Source organism: Homo sapiens, chromosome 1 (assembly GCF_000001405.40).
Source record: "Homo sapiens chromosome 1, GRCh38.p14 Primary Assembly".
In the NCBI taxonomy this organism is placed as follows: Eukaryota; Metazoa; Chordata; class Mammalia; order Primates; family Hominidae; genus Homo; species Homo sapiens.
The window spans coordinates 210698415-210724211 of record NC_000001.11 but is presented as its reverse complement, the minus strand read 5'-3'; the positions used below and the strand labels follow the sequence as shown (position 1 = coordinate 210724211).

The 25797-nt window shown below is 43.7% G+C and overlaps 1 protein-coding gene and 1 long non-coding RNA gene across 6 annotated transcripts in view; one reads left to right on the top strand and one right to left on the bottom strand.

Annotated features, from left to right (window-relative positions):
* LOC105372901 (uncharacterized) overlaps positions 1–15028 on the bottom strand; it is a 44716-nt gene extending 29688 nt beyond the window's left edge. The window contains exons 1-2 of the long non-coding RNA XR_922550.3: positions 14745–15028; positions 13525–13567 (exon numbers count right to left, since the gene is read on the bottom strand). This is a non-coding gene — a long non-coding RNA (uncharacterized LOC105372901). The remainder of the gene's footprint in view (positions 1–13524; positions 13568–14744) is intronic.
* Positions 1–25797, top strand: part of KCNH1 (potassium voltage-gated channel subfamily H member 1) — a 455835-nt gene that overhangs the window by 409937 nt on the left and 20101 nt on the right. The gene's annotated exons all lie outside the window — the stretch shown is intronic.

Genomic DNA, 25797 nt, shown 5'->3' with positions numbered 1-25797 from the left:
AACTACTCTACTAAGAGAATCACTTTGGAAAAGTTACTGGACTTCTCTGGGTCTTATTTTTTCTTGCCTGAAAATTGGGAATTAATATAATCCTCACATATTGTGAGGATAAAATCAGGTAAAGTCTGTTCAGTAAATGATGACTACTATTATTGTCACATTTCTAAATACAGGACCACAGATAGCCCATGTAAGCTGGTAACCTTGAATGACACAGGCCATACTCTTTCCCCGGCCACAGTGGGAAATGTGAGAAGCTATAGATACCTCAGTGAAGGCCATGTCAGACCCATGATAAGGAGTGCTCATCTCACTCGTAGAACAGATCTTTGACCTTCTGTCCACGTGAGGACAGCATGTTTGCCATCAAAGCATCAATGCTGCCCAACCATGCTTCAACTCACACGTGTCCCTTTGTTAACCTTTCAAGTGCTGGACCTTTCTACTCCATGGTTAACTTGCTTGTTTTTTGTTTGAGAATTGTTGGGGTTTTTTGGTATGTTTTCCCCTTTCAGCTTAATGAAATCAGGACCCTGAAGCCAGCAGAAACAAGAGAATGGAAAAAATCTTGATTTCATTTTTCACTTTGTTCAGCACTTTGCATGATCATCCTCAGACTCTGTCATCAGAAGGTCTTTCTTTGTTTTGATGAAGGCATCAGGGTTGCTAACTAACTTTATTTTAAAGGAAAGAAACATTTGGAAAGTGTTTCTTCTTGGTTTTTCTTTGGGGAGAGTTTCCTAGGGGCCAGGATGGACCTTTTCTCACTTCCCCTTCTCCACCTCTGAGGAGTGGCTGGATCTAAGTAGTAGGGATCTGCTGCTGGGGGGACATGGCTGCCACAATTGACTCCATGGATGCCTATGACTGACCTTCATGGTGACCATGGTCCTCCTAACAAAAGAACATTTTTTTTCTCATGGCTAAAGGATGAGAGAAGCCCAATTTTACTCTATATAACATATTTTTAAATCTTAAGTTAAAAAATGTAAGGTATCATTTTTTTTCTTTTCAGGAAGGAAAGGAATTTGAGAGACCACGAGAGACACTGGCTATGGGTGAGGCCAGGCAGGCAGGTTTCCCATTGGGGTTTTCTGTCTGATTGCCTTGTTGATTTAAGTACTTTGCTCATACCTCTTTACTGATTAATTTTCCCCTTATGGTTGTGTGCCCTTCAGAAGTCTGTTTATATTTCCATAAATTGGTGTTGATTTTTTATCAGGTTAAGTTGTCTTCCCTGAGGTCTGTCAGGAACGGGAAGCACATTAACCCCAGCAAGACAAGTGTGAGATTTTCCCCAGATGCCTCAGGTTCCTACACAAATGGAGTTAAAACAAACAAGGAAATTTCTGGGAGGCTGTTCTCTACCCATTATATAAATTGAATTTCTCTTCTTCCATCTGTTAGACTTTAGATTGCTGTATTTTACTAGACTTGATTCCAAGATATTTCAGAAACTCATAGAGGACAGTCATCCCTTCCATCCACTTTTATGGAGACCATACACTGTGCCAAGCTAGGGGATAGAGGTTAAATCAAATCCCCAGGAGCCTAGGTGGCTAGGAGAGAAAACACATGTGTAAATTATCTCTAATTATGATGAGGGATAACAGCAATGAACATGGGGCAGAGCCATACAGAGGCAGGAGCAGTAGAGGGCAGGACTCATCTGTGCCATCAACACTACCAGGCCCTTCTCCATCCCCTGCTCCCAGGGGCACAGAACTTCTGATCCCTTCTCATGAGTTCTGGCTTTCCTTCATTCCCTGGCTATGCAGTGGGCTCCTGCTATATACCTATGTAATTTAAAAGCCATAGTCTCTCTGTGGTGGCCAAATAATGGAGGGAGGTTTTCACTGCCCAGAAAATAAGAGTAAAATATAAGCACTATATAAGCACACATAACAAGAAACACTGAAGCCAAAACAGCCCTTTTACGAAATACCTTTCCCTTCTCACCTTTGAGCTTCACTCCAGCCCTACAAAGTAACACAGAACAGATCCTTCTTATCCCTATTCATAGAATGGGGGGACTTTCTAGGCTTAATGTGTAATCTTTTAACGTTAGAGCAGATTTTCTTTTTTATGTCTTTGTGAAGCTCATGATCCCTTGTGAGGATCCAGCTCTAGTCGTTGGCCTGCTTTCAGTATGGGGCTGGAACCCACTGGGGAAACTGCTACATGCCCACTGGTGGATTGATTGGCAGTGGAGGGAAGTGGCAGGGTGAGTGGGGGAGAGGGTCATCTTCAGCAGACCCTGAGTCCATTTAGAAACAGAAGGTCAAATAACTGGGCCTGGTCTGTAGTCTCTTCCTGGAACCACAGGAAAGAGGACAGCTGGGACCTAGCCATTGGCTTCTGACAGCCTCTTTCTTTTTCATTTATTTATTTATTTATTTATTTATTTATTTTTATTATACTTTAAGTTTTAGGGTACATGTGCACAACGTGCAGGTTACATATGTATACATGTGCCATGTTGGTGTGCTGCACCCATTAACTCGTCATTTAACATTAGGTATATCTCCTAATGCTATCCCTCCCCGCTCCTTCTACGGCTTCTGATATGTCTCAAAAAAGCAGCAAGGGGCTGGGACAGAGTCTCCTTCATGCCTTGTGCCTGGGAAAAATTATGTTTCTCCATTGAGGGAGAATCTACATTTTATTTCGGCCATCAACTTCTATGCAGTCTTCTGTTGAGTCTCAGGTTTATATCTCAGATCTCATTATTCTAAAAACAATGCAAAAATACCTCAAAAGAAAATACATTTTATAAGATCTAAAAATTTTATTAACCCAAACCACCAACTGCTTTGACAGCTAGTGGAAGCCTTTGTGAGCAGAACTCTTGCGCTGAAGAATTTTCACTGGCATTAAAAACCACTCTGATTATCAGGCTAGCTCCTCGTAGGTGGCCAAGAGCTACAGCAGTAGGGCCTGGGTTATGCAGGTTAACTGTAGGAACCTTTATTCTCCAGGGGCATCAAGTACCTATTGTGTGTGCAAACCCAGCACCAGGTGGAAGGGCTCCTAGATACAGTGGAGAGAACCCTGAGCTGAAGCAGGAGGTCTGGGCCTGGGTTCCTAGCCTCAATTCCCAGGTGTTCAGGGCTGTTATACATGGGACTTTCCTCTACTCTCTGGATCACTGAGTCCTAGCTATCAAATGAGGAGTTGTACTTGGGTATTGTAGGGTTCTTCTAGCTCCAAAGCCCCAGAGGAAGTAATACTGGTTGCTAAAGTTATAAAAGAAAGAGATACAGGGGGAGAGACAACATCAATGTCAGAGTGACTGTCATATCATGCATGACATAATTTTTGTTGACTCTTCTACTCCCACTACCCTGTGAGGAGGCCCAACTTTCCTGGACAACATAAAGGAGCAGGGAAAACAATCTCAGCTTCTGTAATTGCTCCTATCCCTGGTTATGAAAGACATCTACCCCCTTTTCCTAGGCCAGAGTCCCTTGAGAAAGGGATTTGGCCAAGGAGAACAGGTGACGCAATGTGATGATGCCACTATATGATTAATGGCACACATCATTTTTGGCCAGAGTTTGTAGAAACAAACAATAGATCTATATTAGTCCCAGTTCTTTGGGGGCAAGCAAGGTCAAGTTAACCCATTATATATAATTAAAATTCTATCCCTTACGATTTTACCCTTTGTCTTCAGCACAGATTCCTTCCACATTCTTCCTGAGACTGTCCCCAAGCGAACTTGGTCTTGAGTGACTTTACCTTTTTTACTGCTTAATCGCATATGGTTATTCTTACTCTTATATCATTGCCATAAGAAGGAGATAAAATAAGAAAGTTTTGTTGACAAGCCAATGCAATGTAAATCTTTACTGAAATTCTATTTGCGTTATACCTCCTGCCTTGGCTTAGCTCATATTTCTGGTCAAAATAATGCAATGAAGTCCTCAATTCCCGTTCCCATACCTCACTTTCTACACACCTGTTTTCTCTTTGTCTCTGTAAGTTCTGGATGATCATATTAATTTGATTTCTCCTGAAAAATCTTGATGCTGTTTGTACCTTCCACAAAGCCATTTTCTCCTATTCTCTCCATTCAGCAGTTTGCATTCTGCTGTCTCACTAGTCCTGTTTGGCCATAGAATGTCCCATCTGCTTTAGAGATGTTCCCAGTGTACTGCAATGATGTGGCCCTTGTTCTCAGAGGGTGAAAATCTGCATGCCGCTGCATTTAAGAGGAATATAGGAAAGACGGGAGGGACACACAGACATTTACACACATAGCGCTAGAAAAGGGAGGGAAGGAAGCCCAGTGGGCCAGGCCTTGAGTCAGATGTTTGAACCTCTTTGTCTCACTTGATCCTCACACCACCTTGTACAGTGATACGGATTGTTTTCCAAATTTACAAATGAAGCAATCAATGTTCACCAAGAGTTAAAAGGAATGTCTATTAAAAGTTAAATTATTCATCTTATTCCACATATTGAGTTATGCAAGAAAAATGATCTTATTTTTTTTTTATTTTACTTTAAGTTCTGAGATACATGTGCAGAATGTGTAGTTTGTTACACAGGTATACATGTGCCATGGTGGTTTACTGCACCTATCAACCTGTCTTCTAGGTTTTAAGCCCTGCATGCATTAGGTATTTGTCCTAATGCTCTCCCTCCCCTTGCTATCCACTCCCCAACAGGCCCTGGTGTGTGATGCTACCCTCCCTGTGTCCATACGTTCTCATTGTTCAACTCCCACTTATGAGTGAGAACATGTGGTGTTTGGTTTTCTGTTCCTGTGTTAGTTTGCTGAGAATGATGGTTTCCAGTTTCATCCATGTCTGGGTGTATACTAAAATGACCTTATTTTTCTATGATTCAGTTTAGGTTTCCTTATAAGTCCCCATGCCTACAAATAGCAGAATCTTTATCTCAGGAAATTTGGGGCCACTCCCCACGTTTCTCAGGGGTTGATTCCGAGTGCTAGCTGGTGCTGTCTGATACAACTTTCTGTGGTGATGGAAATATATTTGCACTGCTCCATGCAGTAGCCCCCAGCCATATATGGCTAATGAACACTTGAAATGTGGCTAATGCAACTGAGCTAATGCCTTGTTAATTTTATTTAATTTTAAATTAATTTTAATTTAAACGGCCACACGTAGCAATGGCTACCATACTGGACAATGCAGTTGTGGGCAATTTTACATGGTGCGAAGGCATTTGGTGCCTTGGTTGGGGGCTAATCTTGGGAGTTGTCATCTACCACGCTGGAAATCTGAAAATGGTTTTTGATTCCATTGAGATATCATTGATCCCCACAGACTCTTGAGTCTTCTCCAGTTCCTGACCCCATGGCTCTTGAGGGGTGGCTCCCTCTTAGCCACCTCTTCACACTTCATTGGCTCTGGGGCTACATTGTCTAATGTGGTAGCCACTGGCCACATGTGCCGACTGAGTACTTGAAATGTAGCTAGTCAGAACTGAGATGTGCTGCCAGCATAAAATAGACAAGGGATTTTGAAGACTTAGTGTGTATATATATATGTGTGTGTGTGTGTGTGTGTGTGTGTGTGTGTGTGTGTGTATATATATATGTATATATATATTTATACACACATACATATAATTTTATTTATATAAGACTTGGTATTTTATATATATAAATATATGTATATATTTTATATATATACATATATGTATATATTTTATATATATACATATATGTATATATTTTATATATATACATATATGTATATATTTTATATATATACATATATGTATATATTTTATATATATACATATATGTATATATTTTATATATATACATATATGCATATATTTTATATATAAATATATGCATATATTTATATATAAATATATGTATATATACATATATACATATATTTATATATATTTATATACACATATATACATATATTTATATACACATATTTTTATATGCACATATATTTATAATATTTATAGAAGACTTAGTACTTTTTATATATATAATTTTTTATGCTGATTACATATTTGAGTATTATATTTTGGACATATTATGTTAAATAAAACATTAAAATTAATTTTACCTATTTTTTTCCTTGTTTTTTGTTTTTGTTTTTGTTTTCTGAGATGGAGTCTTGCTCTGTCACCCAGGCTGGAGTGCAGTAGTGCAATCTCAGCTCACTGCAACCGCCACCTCCTGGGTTCAAGCAATTCCCGGGCCTCCGCCTCCCCAGTAGCTGGCATTAAAGGTGCACACCACCACGCCTGGCTAACTTTTATATTTTTAGTAGACATGGGGTTTCACTATGTTGGCCAGGCCTGGTCTCAAGCTCTTGATCTCAAGTGATCTTCCCACCTCGACCTCCCAAAGTGCTGGGATTACAGGCATGAGCCACTGCACTCAGCCAATTTTACCTATTTCTTTTGACTTTTTAAATGTAGGTACTAGAAAATTCACATATGTGGCTCACATTTGTGCTTGTGTTATATTTCTCTTGGACAGCACTCCTCAAGGGAATCTGCTGTTCCTGAGTACATCCACTGCCTCAGATCCGGTCTGTAGAATCAAGAAAGTGTCAAGGGGTAACAAGAAATACCAGAAGGGGATAATTCAAAATGTTACTTCACCACACCAGCAACTGGGTTTTCTGATGAACTGTGCAAGGAGTGTTCCTAGCCGTTTGGATCTATGAACCTGGAGCCAGGGCTTCTTACAGACAGACAGTCTGCTCAGGAGTGACATGAGGCCCAGGGAAAAAGGGAGGGAGAGCACTGGTCAGCCTCTGCCTTAGAGCAGGACTTGTCTCATTGGTCAAAAGCTGAATCCCTGAGAGTTGGGGAGCAGCAGGGGCCATGCTGAGGTGCAGTCTGCGGACTAAAGTGCATTCATATCCTGATCCATCCAGGTTTGGCTGATGCCGCTTATAGCCCCTACATGTTGAGCACAGGGATAACTGCCAGTCAGTTATATGCTTTCAGCCCTAGGCCAGAAATGGGATCTCCTCTCTGTTGCCCCAGGCTCTAGCTGAGGGCCTAGCTCTTCAAAATCCCTCAGGGAAACACAAGTTTGGCAAATAAGGGCAGCTTTTTCTTCTCATGGTATCTCACCTGACCCCAGAGGCTTCCTGGGAGGCAAAGAAGGGCTACTTGTAAAGCTAAGTGATTTTAGAAATTAATCAGTATGTGGTGAAATAGAAGATATAACTCAAATGGAAGATATAAACTCATCATATCATTCATGATATAAACTGATCAGTCAACTTAGTGCTGTATGCCCTCTTCCAGGGCCCACAGAGGGTCACACATGGGTTTGTTTTGATGATTATTGTTGCTAACATTGGGCTAGAACCTCTAGCCCCACTTTCTTAGCCCCAAAAAATCATAGCAACTCGTGATTATCTATAAGTGTATGCCCAGCACCTACTCTTTGCAGAGCCCTAGTGATCTGCATAGTTGGAACAGAGAGAGCAAGCCTCCTCGAGAAGCCTGGTTGGAGAGACAGGGCATGTAATCAGAGACAATTTGGTCATCACAACCAATAGAGCCTGAAAACAACTGAAGATGAGCACAGGAGGCCTCAGTGAATGTAGTAGACATGTCTGGAGGAAGTTAAAGTTCTATGCAAGTTAAAGGACATAACCCAATTCCATTTTAAATGCCTGTAAGGAAGACTTCACTATTTGAAGAACCCTGTAGTAAATCATTCCTCAAAGTAAACCCTTTAGTAATAGCATACAGTTGTTGATGTGTTTCAGAAAAGTCTAGATGGTTGTGTAACATGCTTTTTTTTTTTTTTTTTGAGACGGAGTCTTGCTCTGTCGCCCAGGCTATAGTGCAGTGGCACAATCTCTGCTCACTGCAACCTCCGCCTTCTGGGTTCAAGTGATTCTCCTGCCTCAGCCTCCCAAGTAGCTGGGATTACAGATGCCCACCACCATGCTCAGCTAATTTTTGTATTTTTAGTAGAGATGGGGTTTCACCGTGTTGGCCAGGATGGTCTCGATCTTCTGACCTCGTGATCCACCCGCCTCAGCCTCCCAAAGTGCTGGGATTACAGGAATGAGCCGCCACGCCCAGCCTGTGCAACATGCTTTCTTAAAGCAAGATCTACCCAAGTATTGGAAATGGAATATAACTGAGTAGAAATGGCGGGGGGAGGGGGCAAGAGCAGGGCAGTGTTTGTTTAGAAGGGAATGTGATACATAAATTTCCTAGCTGCCTTCTCTGAGGGACTGTTTCCATTGTCCCAGGATCTACTTTCCTTTGTATCCCTAAGGCCAGGGTGGCATGTCCCCTGGAGCTTCTCCTGAAGTCTTCGTTCTTTTGTCTGAGAATGGCCCTGTTGCCCTGATCTCAGAGCCCTTACTGAGGCAGGAAACCTTCCACCGAGGTTGCCTCCTATCCCAGTCACTCCCAGAGGTTGTTGGTTGAGCTACATAACTCAGAGAGCGTTTCCCTTCCAGGCCCCACAGAAGGTCACACGTGGGTTTGTTTTGATGATTATTGTTGCTAAAATTGGGCTAGAACCTCTAGCCCCACTTTCTTAGCCCTGAAAAATCATAGCAACTCATGATTATTTATAACAATTAGCTCTTGATGGGAAAATTATGACCTAATGATTATGATGCAAACTTCTGGGGATGTTTTTATGAAAGATTAGTAATGCAAAGTTGAACCAAGCCAAACTAATCCCATTACGTTTTTTTTTTTTTTGTTTAATTTTTAAAATAGAAACAGGGTCTTGCTATATTGTGCAGGCTGGTCTTGAACTCCTGGCCTCAAGCAACCCTCCTGCCTTGGCCTCCCAAAGTGCTGGGATTACATGTGTGAGTCACTGTGCTTGGCCCTGTTAAGATTTATATTGTGTGTTATTTAAGTCTGACTATTGAGCCTAAGGCTCAAGGCAAAGAGAACTGGGCTCCTTGTCCCTCCCTACCCTCTTGCAGGGAGTGACAGGAGGCTCACTCAAGTGCCTGAGTGTGAGTCATCTGGTGTAGGCAGCACATTGGTTCTTCCAGAACTAGCCCTGCAGCCTGTCAGAGTGGGTGGAAGCCTATCTCTGCCCCTGATGGAAGATAGCTGGGGGTTTCTATTCCCAGAACTTTGAGCTGTCATGAGTCTTTGCTGCTGTCAGGCCCCCTATTGAGGCAGAGTCTTCCTGTGGACTTGATCTGAAGCTTTCTCTGCAGGCCTGGCTGCATGCCCTCTGCACCCACTAGGACCAACACAGGTCTCTGATGGGTAGTCTGTGCCGGTCAGACATCACCATGGATTGGTCCCTTTGGGAGGAGATAGTGTACATCTCTAAACATCCAGAGCACCATCAGAGCAATGGCTGGGGGAAAATGAGGTTATACATCAGCCACACAGAGGCACTGCATAAATCAAGTCAACAAGATTCATTTCTTTCTTTCTTGGTTGTGTCCTCCAGAGAAGATGCCCCTAGAGAGACAAAGTACATGCAGAGTGTGGAGTGCACAAAAGATAAAGGCAAAAATGATATAGACTGCCTTCCTTTGAAGGCAGGGATGGTATCATGATCCTCTTTACGTCTCCAGCAATAGCACAATGCCTGGCACACAAGCGCCATGGGTTACCTGTTTGTTTGGAAGAATGAGTGAATGGATGAATTCAGACCGTAATTTATGATTATGCTGCACATGTATATTCTGACCCCTTGTGTGGATGTCACAAGCTCATTGCACGTACCGTTGTGTTCAGTCCTCCACAACCCATCCATTGACAGGGACACTGAATTTTAGGTTAACAACTTGCCTAAAGTTGCGTGATGAATAAGCAGCAGAGGCCCCAACCCCAGGTAAAGGCAAAAAACAAAACAGGAAGAAAGAAAATGTTTCATGAGCACCTATCCCAAACCAAGTATCATTATAAACCCTTTTGTCTACCTCGAAACATTGATGTTTTGGAAAATTCTGTGAACTATACTTTACTTTACTCCCCTTACTGACAGCTGTTTTAGAAACCAAAGTTTGGAGGGGTTTGGTAATCTGCTCTAGGCACACACAGCCATTAGCTATTAAACAGAGAAGTTGATTGGAGTCCACATGCAAGTCTACAGCCCAGAGCTCTTTCTGTGACCCCAGTTGCCTCTCTCCATACTCTCTAGATAGGAGAAGACCTCTTCTCTTCTTCACATGTGTCTCACAGTGGGAGCAGGGCAGGCAGCATATTAGCCCCGTAGGTTAGAAAAAAATGTCGATATTCATACCCTTTGGTTTAGGACAATCGTGAGAAGCCTCCCACCGGAGTGACAGGATAATATGTGAACCCTAGGCTCCCAGGACACAGGTCTGATTTATTGGTGCTGAATTCCTGTTAGCTCCACTCAGAGATGCCTCAGTCTGCAATGAAATTAACTTTTGTGTAGTTGACCTCTGAATTTCCCACTCCATGAAAATATATTGTCTTTAATACAACATGAGCAGACATAATTCAGCCTGGAAATATATGGAACGGCTTCCAGGAGGAGGTGGCATTTGAATTGGGCTGTGAAGTGTAAGGACTTATTGGGGCTGAAAATGAAGGATCATGAATTGCAGGTTGAGGGAAGAAAAAATCGCAGACGGATGGGATGTTCTTCCCCCCATCCCTTCCCTAACCCCTGACACCTCTATACAAAAACTCACCACCCAAAGCCAAGAACAATTAGGAAGACGATCTATTTCTTTATGGAGAGCAAGGAAAGAGATCACATCTTGATGTCTGTTTTATCCCCAGAGCCTACCACAGTCCTGGCAATTAGAAGATGCTCATTTAATATTGATGGAAGAAAGGAGAGAACAGACCACATTCCCCAAAGTCAGAGCAGAACTGCATCTTCAGTGCTGAAAGCATGATTTGGACACTTGGTCTCTTTGGGAATTAAGGGCTAGGTACTCCCAATCTGTGTCTGCTGATATTGCCATCTTTCCTTTGGCCTTTACCAGACTCAGAGCTAAATTGGTGGCATCTGTCAATCTCATGGTCGGTACTTGGCTATATCTCATTTCTTACCTTTATTTTCCTTCTGTCCTTATTATGTTATGATTTATCTTGTGTTTATGCATCTAAGCGAGCATCTTTCTTTGAATATGTTGTTGTTTTTGAAACCAAGGTAGAGAAGAAAAACTTTTTAAAGGTGAATAAAATAAATTGACAAACACAGGAGCAAACCCCAGTTAAAGGAATATTGCCTGCACAATAGCACCCCTCCTGATGGAGAAGGTAGAGTGAGGAGGATGTGCACGAGTCATCTGCATTGTGTCAGGGGAGCCAGGCCAAGGGAAGGCAAGTGGCTCTGCTGCTGGGGTTGGGGGACTAGGGGTGGGGAAAGGCAACTGTTCGTAACTTCTTCAAGGCCTTGGCACTGGACCTGGAGCTGATAGACTAAAATTCCAAGACTTGTAGGCAGGTACAGATTCCTGTTAATGTGGGTATGCAGCTCTCAGAACCCTTTCAATGAACTTATAACAGGAATGCAAGGGCCACAGGCATTAGGAGTGAATGTTTCAGGCAAGCAAAGGTGAAACTCTTGAATAGGTATGAGCCAAACCACCTGTGACACCAGCAGCAAGTTCTGCCATCACTTTCTGCTTTCTACAGCATTGTTTTTGGAGGAATGGACAGTCATACCAGCAGAAGGAAAAATTAAAGGAAAGTCACTCTAGCATCAGAAGTTTTGCTTTTCATGCTGGAAAGAACAGATTCTGGGCCAGGAAGACTTTTAGGAAACAGCCTGAAGGCATTTTTCTTTCTCCCAGCCTCTTCGTTCTGCTGTGAGCCTCTAAGCAGTGTCCTGGGCTCTATTCCCACTCTCCCTGCCAGCCCTGAAGCAGGCGGAGTTTTTATTTCAAGTACCAGGAAGTGTCAGAAAACAGCCCCCAAGGAGGTGTTGATTTGATGTGAAAACTTCACACATGGGCTCAATGACCCTTGCCTTGTTTTATGTTTAGTTCATAGAAGTATTATTTTTATTTGAGTTGTTTTAAGGAAAGGCAAATATCACCACTCATGGTTGGTGCAGCATTACCATGTTCCTTTTATGGATTCTGGAGATGTACGATTACTATTTTGAATATAGGGCTTTTTTTCTGGCCACTTCATCTCATCTATGTTCTTTGCTAGACTTCATGGTGTTAATGGCTGAGCGTTGTACTCAGAGAGTACACTCCTGGCTCGCTGTCAGGAATGGGCCCTGTGGGTTGTGATTCCACCTGGTGGCCGATGTGGCCCTGAGCAGCTGTCCTTCTGCCGTTGTGGACAATAACATATGTGGGACTGTGGCCACCTAGGTGAGGGAAACTGTCTAAGCCTGGGGTCCAGGGGCTTCCTCCAGAGAAACTAACCAGCCTCTGAGAGCCACAAGTTCCCCACTGTGGCCTTCATCATATACTCCTTCAGCAGTTGTTTATCCTGCCCCTACTGTGTGCAGGCCCCAGGGATAGAGTGTGAGCAAGGCAGGCAAAGTCCCTGCCCACAGTGGACTGTTAAGCTGCCAAGGGCTTCAGAAAGTTGATGACCATAGCGCTTGAGGGGTGTTATCAGGGATACTCTTGTATCATTGCATGATAAAGGGGTAGAAGAGAGGGACACCCAAACCAAGGTGAAGGGTAAGTCCCAGAGAGGTGACATTTGAGTGAGGACCTGAAGGAAGTAAGAGCTGGCTAGGCAAAGAGGAGGAGGAAAGGCAACTCAGGTCAAAGGAACAGCATGTAAGACACCTCAGAGGCTCTAGAGAGGCTGGCATCTCTGAGGAGCATGAGAAGGTCCTAGTGAGAAATGAGCCAGATTCCATAGGCCCCGGGCTAAGGCTAACCTTCCCCTGATGGCCCAATGCCTGGGAATGGGAGTACAATTTAGAGAGATGAAGGAGAACCTGGCTTGGGCCCCTGAAGAGAGTAACAGCCCCTGAACTCCCCAGGACTTTAAGATTTACACACATCTTAGCAGAGGCCCAGGTGGTGGTCCCCGGTGTGATTTCCCACAAGATTTCTGGCAGGCCAGGTATGATGGCATTTATATTAGCAATAGTATCTGGCTTCCTCTCCTTCCCCCATGGTCTGGGGCTGTCTAGGGAGAGGCTGGCTTGGCTAGCAATAGACTAAGGGTGAATTTCATGGGCCAAGATCTGTAGCAGCCAAAATAAAGGGAGATTTGGGAGCCAGAGAGCCAGTTCACAGTGGACTGAACCAGACCTCTGTGGAAGAGCAGAATCCAGAAGCGGCCAGGTGAACAGCATGAGGCTGGCTCTGAGAGTCAGCATTTTGAAGGGAAGCTGGTGGGGATTATGGGGCAAAGGGCATGGGCCTTGTGATGACCCTTAATTGTCCTCTGTTTGCTGTAGAGTGCAGTGGGCTGGCCTGGATTAGATGGAGTGAAGACATAACATGTCACCTTCAAAATTGGTGTGGGTCACAAGGTTGCGACTGTTGAATTCACTATTTGAGCACAGAGTCTGTGCAGAGCAGCGGGTGTGGTAAAAGGAGCCAGCGTTTGAGGGCAAGCAGACCCAAGTATGACTCCCATGCCTGCCACACCACTTACCAGCCACGTGGCATTAGGCTTCTCTGAGCTTCACCTCTTCATTCTGTAAAATAGGGATAAGAAGATAGTCAGGCACTGCCTAATGCCATCAATGGTAGTGGTTCCATAAGATTATAATGGAGCTGAAAAATTTCTGTCACTTAGTGATATCATAGCCATTGTTACATTGTAGCACACTTAATTTTATTTATATTTTTATATATGTATATATAAAACTTTAGTGTAGCCTAAATGCACATCTCTTCGTATATCTCTCTCTTTCTGTCTCTCTTTCCGTCTATCAATCCACCCACCCATTTCTACTTCCCTGTATGTATCTACATATACTGTTTATAGTCTATAGTAGTGTACAGGAATGTCCTAGGCCTTCACATTCACTTACCACTGACTTACCCAGAGCAACTTCCAGTCCTGCAAGTTCCATTCTTGCTAAGTGCCCTATACAGGTGTGGTATTTTTTTTATCTTTTATATTGTGTTTTTACTCTACCTTTTCTATGTTTAAATATGTTTAGATAGACAAACACAATTATCTATAGTATTCAATACAGTAACATGCTGTACAGGTTTGTAGCCTAGGAGCAACAGGATATACCATATAACCTAGAAGTATAGTGGGCCATCCCATCTTGGTTTAAGTATACTCTAAGATGTTCACACAATGACAAAATTGCCTTGTGACACATTTATCAGAATGTATTCCTGTTGTTAAGCAACACATGACTGTATCTATATCACAGGTTGCTCACAAGGACTAATTAGCATAGTGATTGTGCAATGTACATCACATTGTCTGCTTGTGGGATGTTTTTCCCAAGACTCAACGGTACAGACGAATAGTATCTCCCCAGCACTGTATGGGAGAGCTCCTGGGCTTGGGAAGACCCAGGCACAGTGCCTACACAGCAGTCAGAGCTATCATTTCTCTCTCTCTCTCTCTCTCTCTTTCTCTCTCTCTCTCTCTCTTCTTTCTTTCTTTCTCTTTCTTTTTCTCTCTTTGTATATCTCTCTTTCTTTCCGTCTATCTGTCAATCCACCCACCCATTTCTACTTCCCTGTATCTACATATGGTTTTTAAACTAATAGAATTATGGGTCTGACTCTTAACTTAGCTTCATGATGTCACCATTGTCTGTCTTAAGTCTGTGTTAGTTTGCTAGGGTGGCTGTAAAAAAGTACCACCAATTGAGCAGCTTAAATAACAGAAATGTATTGTCTCACAGTTCTGGAGGCTAGAAGTCCAAGACCAAGGTGTCTGTAGGGTTGGTTCCCTCTGAAGCTTGTGAGGAAGAATCTGTTCCATGCCTCTCTCCCACCTCCTGCTGGTTTGCTGGCAATCCAGTGCTCCTTGGCTTCTGCCGCATCACCCCAATCTCTGCCTTCATCAACACATCCGTGTATGCATATCTGTGTCTCCATGTCAAAATCTCCCCCACCTTTGAGACAGGGTCTGGCACTGTTGCCCAGGCTGGAGTGCAGTGGTACAATCTCAGCTCACTACAACCTCTGCCTCCTGGGTTTAAATAATTATTTTGCTTCAGCCTCCTGAGTAGCTGGGACCACAGGCGTGCCACCTTGCCTGGCTGATTTTTGTATTTTTAGTAGAGGTGGGGTTTCACCATGTTGGTCAGGCTGGTCTCGAGCTACTGGCCTCAAATGATCCACCCACCTCAGCCTCCCAGAGTGCTGGGATGAGCCACCACACCCAGCCCAAAGTTTTCCCTTTTTATAAGGACAGCTGTCATTTCGGATTAAGGATTCCCTGGTCTTGAGCCTCAAATCCAAATGCCTCCTCCACCCTTGTCCTCCCTGCCCTATGCCCTTCCCAGGGAAATGGAATTGTGCTGGTTGGAGGAGTTAGGGTCTGTTAAAGTAACCCAACAGAGACTTTCCATTTTGGAATTGGGAATCTGAATGTTACAACAAGACCCGTTGGACACTTACTGTCCTAGCAGGAAATCCTCCCAGAAACTAACCCAATCCAGTTAAAATTACTAGTTATTTCCGACTGCAGGCTCAGTACTTGTGCCTGAATGGCTGAGTGGATATAAGAATGATTAAGGTAATCCTTACCCTTTGGTGGGTCAGTCCAGTAACCCTGCAAGAGTAAAGGAACTGAATATAATTCGAGTGATCAGCAAGTTTATATAGGGTCAATTTATGGAGACTATGACTATAAAATCTGTTTACGGACTCTATGTAAATATAAGATCTAATGTTTACTGTTTCATTAAAAAGTATATTTACATCAAAGATGAATTTCAAGCAGAAGCCTGTTCTTAATTATTAGAGGGGAATAGAGATCATGCTATGTTCAGAAAACGGTTGTACACTTCTGGCTGGGAGGATCAAGGAAGGCTTGATGGAATCAAGGAAGTGGAATCATTGAAGATTGATTCCACTTCAATGGAAGAAGTGGAATTCCTCAGTCCTTTGCAATAGAGAAAGTCTGAACCAACAATGGGAGTGGGGGAAGGGAAGAGCCATCCAGAGTAAAAGCAGCATAAATGGGCTCCAGAAAGGGTGAATGGGGGACACCCCTTCTTTGCCTGGAGAATAAGACAGTGGATTCCTTCTTTGCTTGGAGAATGAGACAGTGAAGGGCTGTTGCAAACACACAAGATGCTCCATGTGATGAGCTGTGTTTAGTATCTGCATGACATGCTATTATACCTGTGTTTGCATTATTGTGTCCAGCCTTGCCATGTGCCTGAATACACCAGTATCATAGCTAAAGCACACTTAAGAGTGAGTGGTAGACAAAAAAGAAGACCTCATTTGCCGTTCTGTGAAAATTATGTCTGCCTGAATAGATTCAATCTCAGATGAATTGGGAGGGAGGAAGGGCAGGGAGGCCTCCTTTTATGTGTTCTGTCCCCAGAACAAGACACATTGATGGCCCTTTTATAGGTTCCTAAGAGGAGGGAATGGCCTGGCTGTAGGAGTTTCATCTTTGTTAGTGCTGAGGGACTTTTTAGAAAATGCTCCTGCAGACAGGCCACATCTGGAGCCCACAGCCTGCCACTGGGCTGGAGCATTAAACCAGCAACGTGGTGAAGATGTTTCGTTTTCCCTCTGTGTGGCCAGCCGGCTTCCTGGCTGAACACTTACTTACACCTAAGCTCTGCCTGCCAAGAGCACGAATCAGGCAGCCACTTTATTGACCATATAAAAAACAGCGTGGGGGGAGCACAGCAGAGCATGGCTTGGGTTTTTACTACCAGTAATTGCTTGTGCTGTCCCTGTCCTTGAACAGTTCTTGATGTAAATAGCTCTATCTGGGAGGAGACTCTGGGTCAAGCCAGGGTAAATGCCCGCCTGCCTTATTACAGGCAGACTGTCTGTGTGCTTGACAGGGAAAGGCCTGGTGCTTCTCAGTGCTGGGGGAGATGGGGACAGGGACCTCATTGCAGAGCTGGGGTTGGGTAGGGTGCATTCCCAGGGTAGGGGGTCCCGTGCATCCACCAATTACCTGGCACCTGCTCCCACCCATCCTGGACATGGATGCACTTGCTCACGCCTACCAGACTCCTCTCAGATATTGGTCAAGGAACAATATATATGAAAACCTGACCTCAGTGCATTCTTATGCCAATCCCTACACACATACACGTGCGCGCGCACACACACACACATACCCCTCACATACAAATATCTGCTTACTTCCTGGACTGTGAATTCCCACACAGTAGGGACTATGCTTTCTCTTCTCTTCTGCACCCAGCCTTCGGTGTGATGCCTGATAGAACTTGGGTTCAGTACATGTCTGGCAAATGTGAGATGATAGAGAGAAAGCAGGAAATGCCCATCAGGGCCCTTCCCAACACTGGAGTTCTTTCACTTACTTGCTGATATATCCTTGAGCCTTAGTTTTCTCATCTGCAAAATGAAAATAACAGCATCCACCTGGGGTGATGTGATGAGAATTAGCCACTATTCTTAGCACGAATTGCTAGTAAGTGTTTTTATTGCCTTCTATTTACTTAGTAATGCATGGTCTGAGACTCAGAAGAATTGGCTCCCAGTATTTCCTGGCCAAGAGGCCTCAAAGATATCATTACCCTTCTCTGGGCCTCAGTTTCCTCATCGGTAACACAGAGGAGTTAAACAAAGTGATTTGTGCAGTCCTTTCCAGCCCTGACAGTTTGTGGTTCTAATTAAATCATTAGGTATCCATCAAACAGGTTCTGAGTCACCAGCCATGGCTCACATAATCCCAAATAGTGGCTAAAGCAAAGGTCAGTTTTATTTGACTTTCAAATGCTTTGCTTATTTTGTGTTAGATTTTACTTTCCACGCTGCATTTTGCTCCTGCAAATATTAAAGGTTATTTGCATCCCCTGCACATATCAATGACTGGGGACTCAGAAGGGGCACAGCAAGCCCTCTGTAGAATGCTCCCCACCCAGGCACGGTCCACCCCTGCAAGAGCTGGTGTCTAAATTTCATGGAGCTGATGGCGGCAAAGCCTGAGTGAATCTGGAAGGGGAACTTCCTCTTCCTGTTTACTACAGAAGGCTTTGTGGAAGAGGGGAAATTTCAGAATGAATTAAACTAGTGACGAGGTTTAGAACTAATTGGCAAAAGGACAGGATCTGGAACCTAACTCTCTGGGTTCGAGTCTTGTTGCTTCCACTTAACCACTCCAAGTCTCAATCCCTTCATCTGTCAAATGGGGCCAGTGATAACACCTACGTTAGGCTCATTGCAAGGGTAAAGTAAAATACAATATGCAAATATCACCTGGCTCTTAGCATTCAGTGCTGCTGCTGATTATGATTATAGTCAGAGGAACACTGTTTAGGGCTGGCCTGGTGTAGAAGCAGAGTGGGATTAGGATCGAGGTGCCCAGATACTGGGGAGACACACAGCATAACTAGGCAGTGGGGGAGGTAAGGAAGGAGAGATGGCTGATCACAAGAGGAGACCCTGACTTAGAGCTACAGAGCATGGGGGAAATGCTGATCCCATAGGAGGAGGGAAGACCAAGGAGAGATCAGGAGACCTCAGAGTTGAAAGCCCTGAGATCCATCATCTGGGCACTTTCCTTTTATCATATCTTCAAAGCAATGGTGTCAGATTTAGAGTGGTTTTAGCCTCTTTTCTTTTTTGGCTATGGAAACTAAAGCCAAATGGGTTCTACCTCTGGGCCAGGGTCGACCCTCTGGCTTCAATGGGACCAGAATTCTGCTCCCCAGCTCCTGGGACAGCCAGCCCCAAGACTCTATCACTGTTGCTTGGATGGATGCTGTTTGGTTAGCCTAAAATTACACCTCTCTGGAAGTTAGTTTTCTCTGTCTGACCTCCATGTGTTACACTAGGTGAATGTTAAACCCCCAGGGAGGAGAGACTTGTGAGGCCTGCAGTTCTTCTCTGCCAGCTTTGTCAGCAACTCAGGGGCTTGAGCAAGTGGACGAATGAGAATCTGCAGGCCTGCAAACTGGCCTCCTCTGGAGAAGCTGGCAGGTCTTGCCTATTTCAGATACTTCTCAGCGGGTGCCCTCGGCTCTTTTCCCCACCCTCAGCCTGGCAGGGAGTGGTAGAGGGGAGGGAGGATGAAATGTGTCTTTCTTTCTTCAAAGTTGGTAATGCAAGTGAGATCAATTCTTGTCTCCTGCGCAGGGGCCGCCCCACCTCCCTACCTTCCTCTCCCCATTTCCTGCCCTGGAAAATTCAGACCAAGGACCCCCTACCTCCACCCAACCCTCCCAACCTTCAACCCCACAAACCCCAGAGAAGGGAAGGAGAGCTTGGGCTTGCAGTCCAGCAATGAGGTTTCTAGATGAATCATTTGCCGTCCCTGGCTCTGCAAAGTGTGTGTAGGGAGGAATGGTATTGACCAGTTGCTCTCCATGTGTGTGAAAGAGTGAGCCAGTGGAACTGGGTTTAAATAAAAGACCAAATTATGTGTAGGTTTATAAATTTACTGTTAGATGATTAGATACAGGTTTGGCTACTGAGGTATATATGGACTTTTAACTCTAAACCTTCAAAAGGAGAATAGCATTTGGGTTTGGAAGAGCCATGGATCTTGTCTCTCTCAGCCTCTGTCATCTCATTTATACAAAATAAGGACACTTGCCCCATATATGTGATCCCAAATGAGATAATGTGTGTGCTGGCTTTCTGTCAACCACAAAGTAGGAACAAATGTCAATTTTCGTATTGCTAATAATGGCAGAAGTAATGGCTGTCTTCATGGGATAGTTTAGAAAGTCACTGGCCTGAAGACAGAGCACTAGACCAGGTCCCTTCCGGTTTTAGCATCACCCTTGGACTCCTCTGCCTTTGTTATCAGAGGAAACAAAGGAGTTGACATAGGAGTGAATTGAAGGAAAGGCTGTGATAGGCCTACTAATCTTCTAGGCGTGGCGATTGTTATTAGAAATGAGGTTGATAACCTAAACGCTGAAATGGCCAGGAAGTCAAGGACCCTCCTGCTATTGAGACAGCAGAGCATTGTACTGCTCCTCAGCCCCCTCCCTTCCTTCAGACTTCACAGTAGGGGCAGGAAGAGCTGCTGCCTTCGACACATGTTCTCAGGTGGCACCAGAAGCTTTCCCCACCCTTGACCCAGGGAGATTGAATTGTGATGTCTGCTCTGGCCCAGGGCACCTCTCCTTGCCCTGGCATTGTTTTCTTACACTAACAGCTGGGCACTGGTGACAGTCCTGGAGAGGTGTGTCTTGTCTCTCGTAGAGCACTTGGCCTATGGGGGTGCACGCTGCACTTTATCATGGAGCACCATCTTTGAATACTGACATTCCCCTTGCTGGTGCCTGAATTCTAGCTGTTCCTTCTATGCCCTCCTGCTCTGGGGCTGGGCCAATTCACAGTATAATTAATTAGAAACTAAGCACAAGCCCGAGATTACAGATTTTACATACAAATGGATACTGTCCCTCAAAGATCAGGTGTTTCATGACCACACACTTCTTTGTGTCCTGCTCTATGCAGGGCCCTGGAAGGGACACAGAAATATAGTCTCTGTCCTCAGAGATCTTATGGGAGAGTTAGTTAGGAAGGCAGCATTTAATCTTGTCTTTTGTAGCATTATCATTGAAGAAAAACATAATGACACAAGCAAATATATGTTAATAAGTAGCATTTATTAAATGTGTACTAGTTGTGTGTTTGTTAGGCACTTTAAATGCATTATTTCTTTTAGTCCTTGCAATTACTGTATAAAGCAGGTAGGCACTGTTACTAGCTCTATTTTATAGATGAGAAATCTGATATCCAAAAGGGTTAAACTTGCCAGTGATGTATGAGAAGGCTTGTTTCCCCACATCCTATTATCAAAGTGTGGGGTGAGACTTCTGGATTTTGAGCAATCTGATACATTTCAAGAGTGGTATTTTTTCATATGCTTACCAGTCATTTAAATTTCCTTTTCTGTGATCTCTCTTATCTATTCTAAAAATAGGAATATTGGTGTCTTTTATTATTTTTAGGAGCAGTTTTTGTCATAAATTACAAGTATTTTCCCATTTTGCCATTTGTCTTTTAACTTGCACATGTTGTGCCATGCAGAAGGGATTTTTATGGACCCAAATTTATTTTTATTTTATGACTTCTGGATCCTTAGTTAGTTAGAAAGGGCTTCTGGTATATATTTTAAAAATTAATTAAAATAATAAAATTGTGTTAAATGTGGGAGATTAGCCACAAACATCTATTTCTTCACTTTCCAGAAAACCCAATGAAATGATATAAAAACAATTTTTTAAAATATAGAAACCTAGAAGGACTAATTTGTTAAAACTTGGGAGAAGAGAAAGTAGCAGATAAGTAATTTTGAAAGACGGAAGGCAGACGGAGGAAAGGTAACTGATGTAGTAAAGTGGAAGAAGCTGCAGCACAGATGCAGAAGGGGCTAAAATGGAAAAGGAGCCTTTTTTCTTTTCTCTTGCAAAGCCCAAGAAAGCTCTGTCCTTAGAAGCACAAATCACCATGGGGTGAGAAGGAGGTAAACTGCAGCCTAAAATTCAGGGGGTTGGCTTAAAGTCCTTATATGGGATAGTAAGATTTCCAGCTCCACAGCTCTACCTCATGCAACCCAGTGACTGTAGAGATAATGCAAGGATCAAAAGAAAAATGCTTACATTAAAGACATAAAGTCCATATATCCATGAAACAAAACAGGATGCTATTTAAAAATTCAAAAGAAGCAAAGAGCTTTTGAGTTTTAAAAAATAAGATAGCAGAAAATTTAAAACATAATAAAAGTCTGGAAAATGCAGTCAAAGAAATCTTATAGAAGATAAAAAGACAAAGAATAAGGAAAAAGGGGAGGAGGAAGGTAATAAAATTAAAACATCAACTCTACATTTCAACTGATAGGAGTTCAAAGAAAAACAGAAAATGGAGGGGAGAAAAACTATCAAAGAAAATAATATAAGAACACTTTTCAGAGCTGAAGAACAAGAATCCTCAGATTGCAGGGCCACCAAGGGTCCAGCTCTTTGACCCACATTGAAGCACAGTGTTGTAAAATTCTGAAACTTTAAGAGGTTAAGAAAAAATCTTTAAATCTTCCAAAGTGATACAGTAAGTTACACTCAAAGGATTAGTAATCAGAATGACTATCTTAATGACAGTGCTGACTTATAGAAGCTAATAAACAAATACATTGAAAATTCTGATAGAAAAATGAATTTCAGCCAAGAGTTCCATGCCCCAAATTATTATTCAAGTGTGAAGATAAAAAATATTTTTTAAGAATGCAGGAATTCCAGTGGCTTTTGGGGCATGTTTTTTCCTGAAGAACGACTAGAGGATGTGCTCCAGCAAAATGAGGAGAAAACTAAGAAAAAGAAAATAAATAGCCATAGGTCAGCAGTGGAGGGAGATCCCAGGCCTGGAAAACAGCCAGATGATATTTGGGCAAGGGGACAGATGGCCCCAGAAACGATGTCTCTGGGGGAAAAAAATGGAACTACTGTTTTTAGAAACATGGAAAATATTTTTGGGGGCACATGATAGAGGTATTCAAATATGTGAAATAAATTCATGATGGGTTTATTGGGCAGCCAGGCAAATAAAAAAAAAGATGGAAGGAAGGAAGATTAACTTCAGGGAAAAGAAGGGGTTATATTAAAGAAAAAACAAAAAGAAGGCTTGTCCAAGCATTGCTAATAAATAACAGCCAAAATTCAAGGCCAAGGCTGTCTGATCCCAAGTTGGTATCTTAGAATCTTAGAAGAAAGCTCTGCTTCAGAGAAACTTCTTTGCGACCTTAGTAAGCCACTCTCCCTCTCTGGGCCTCAGTATTCTCACCTATATAGTGATTAGTCTACACAAAAAGTACAAACCAAGCCAGGCATGGTGGCTCAGACCTGCAATCCCAGTGCTTTGGGAGGCTGAAGTGAGAGGATTGCTCAAGGTTAGGAGTTCAAGACCAACCTGGGCAAAATAAAGAGACCCCTGTCTCCTACCAAAAAAATAAAAAGGGCCGGGTGTGGTGGCTCACGCCTGTAATCCCAGCACTTTGGGAGGCTGAGGCGGGCAGATCACAAGGTCAGGAGATCGAGACCATCCTGGCCAACACAGTGAAACCCCGTCTCTACTAAAAACACAAAAAATTAGCCAGGCGTGGTGGCGGGCGCCTGTAGTCCCAGCTACTTGGGAGGCTGAGGCAGGAGAGTGGCGTGAACCCGGGAGGTGGAGCTTGCAGTGAGCCGAGATCGCGCCACTGCACTCCAGCCTGGGCGACAGAGCGAAACTCCATCTCAAAAAATAAATAAATAAATAAATAAAAAGAAACTAAAAAGTACAAACAATAAATGAAAAGAGAAAAATTTGATCATTAAAGTGAAAAACTTTGAGACAACAAAAGACCATAAAAAATGATTAAAAGACAAGCCACGGACCAAGAAAGTGGTTAGCAAACTATAACCTGAGCCAACCCTGGCCTACCACCTACTTTTAAGTTCCATTGGAACACATCCATGACCATTTGTTTACATTTTGTCTGTTTTTGTGCTATCGTGGCAGAATTGAGCAGCCTGCAAAGCCAAAAATATTTACTATCTGGCCCTTTACAGAAGCAGCTTGCCAACTGCTGGATTAGGAAAAGATTTTTTTCCACAGATGTAAATAGCAACAAATTAAGACCTAAAATACATACAGAGAGATGACAAATCAATAAGAAAAAGACAAAGAGAATACAGGGTTAAGGTGGAAAGAAAGGCAGCAGATTGTGGTGCTGTTGAAACCCAGGCAGAGCAACTTTAAAGGAGTCAGAAGGTACTTGGACCCAGGTGTGCTCTATACCCCAGCCTTGGCCTCACACTCCTGGCTAGAGGGGCCCAGATGAGAGCATGAAGCTGGCTCGGACACTCCATACCTGCAGCAGGGAATGTGGTGGAAGCTTGTGAGTTGTGTCAGTAGGCAGTAATTATCTGCTCCCTATACCAAAGATAGCAGTGTTTCATTCCCTGCTCAGTGCTTCCATAAGCCTCTTAGTGTGTTTGTCATTCCTGGTGGCCTTGGAGCAGTATAATAATTGTTGCAACCATTACATATAAAGAGATGTCTTTTGAACACCATCTTGGGTGGCTCATCACTTCCTGACTTGCATGGTGGTTTGTCCCTTCCTCACTTGCCTGATTTTCAAGGGGCAGTAGCAGGACAGAGGATTCTTCCTGAGATAGGAGGGGGATCTGAGACCATCAGCTCCAGCTCTTGCTGTACCAGCCAATTTAATTTAATACCTGGGAGTTGCCACTGATGAGTGGCTGAGTCCTTGGCAGCTGGTCAGGAGGAAGGCAAAATAACCTTGGGTTTGTGGGCTCATACCTAGGTTCAAATTCCAGCCGGCCCTACCACTTAGTAGCCTCAAACACCTTGGTGCCTCAGCGTCCACATTCATAAAATAAATAATAGTAACCCAAGTGCCAGCTATACTCATCTGGTTAGGTTAACTTTTTATTATTCTTTACTCCAGGAAAAAGTCATGTGTAGAATGGGCTCCACTGGTGAAACATTTTTGAAATGTCATTGAAAATTGGAGATGGGGCAGGGTTGGGGGTGTGGAGCACAGGAAGGCACACAGGAACAGGTAGGTCCTGCCAGTGGTGGGCAGTGAAGCTCTTCAGCCACCTTCTGTCCAGCTTCTCTGGTTCCCTCTGTTCTTAGCTCATGCCAAGTGGCTGCGCTTGCTGCCTGGGGATCCACCTACCTAGGCCTGAGAGATTCCACTCCTGCTCCAAAGACGGCTTCTCAAAGCTCCTCCTCGGCAGAGTGGGGCTCTCTTGGCCATTCTTGTACTCATGCTACAAAGGTATTCCCCTGCCAGTCTTTCTCTGAACAGGTCTGTGTCCATGCTGTGCCCAGGTTTGACCAAATACAGCTCTTTTGGCCAGGCATAGGACTGTCCCTCCTGTTGAATCAGTGACACATGAGGGCCACATTCTCAGTAAAAGGAAGGCAAAACCTTCAATTCAGGGTGGGGAGAGGCAGGCACAGTATTTATTGAGCACTGGGGATGCCATGTGCTTTATGTACATTATGTCTCATTTAACCCACATGCCTACTCCACAGAGCCTATTGTTCTCTTTACAGTGGGTACCAGAATGGAGCAAAGAGAGACTCACTTGGGGAGCAGAAGGTCCAAAATACGGGGACAGAGAGTGTGAGGTAGAGACCCAGCTGGAGAAATACACTTTACTTGGGTCTGTTGCACAGTAGGCTGGGAGATGACAATGGTGAAAAGGAAAGAGAGTCTCATTTTCAAATAAAGGTAGGAAGTCCGTTCTCTACTCCTAGTATCAAAGAGGACGGGGCAGCTGCCCGTGGCCTCTGCAGGAGGATGCAGGCTGGATGGCAGGCAGGCGCTGCAGCCCTCAGGCTCTGGTGGCAGACCAGCCTGGGTTCAGCCTCTTACTCACTGTGTACAGTCTCGTTCCCAGCTTCCTCCTCTCCATAATGGGATTTGTAATAGTGGCTACCCATAGGGTTGTTGTGCAAGGTCATGGAAATAATGTATGTGAAGTGTTTAGAACAGAACCCAGTACACAGGAGAGCCCAGCATCTGGCAGCCACTATCATTATCAGGTGACGTGGGGCTCCCTCCCCTCCGTGATTCTGGTACATAAAGGCTCATTTCTTTGCCATTTTGATGGCTCTATGCCCTCTTCTCTGCCCTTTCTCTTGCTGTTTCTTATTTCATGTTACCTTCCTAGTGAAATCCTTTAGCTAGAGATCCTTCTTTCTCTTTTACCTTCTCTTCTTCTGGTTATGGTGTATCTATTCTTCTCTTAGGGCCTCTGTC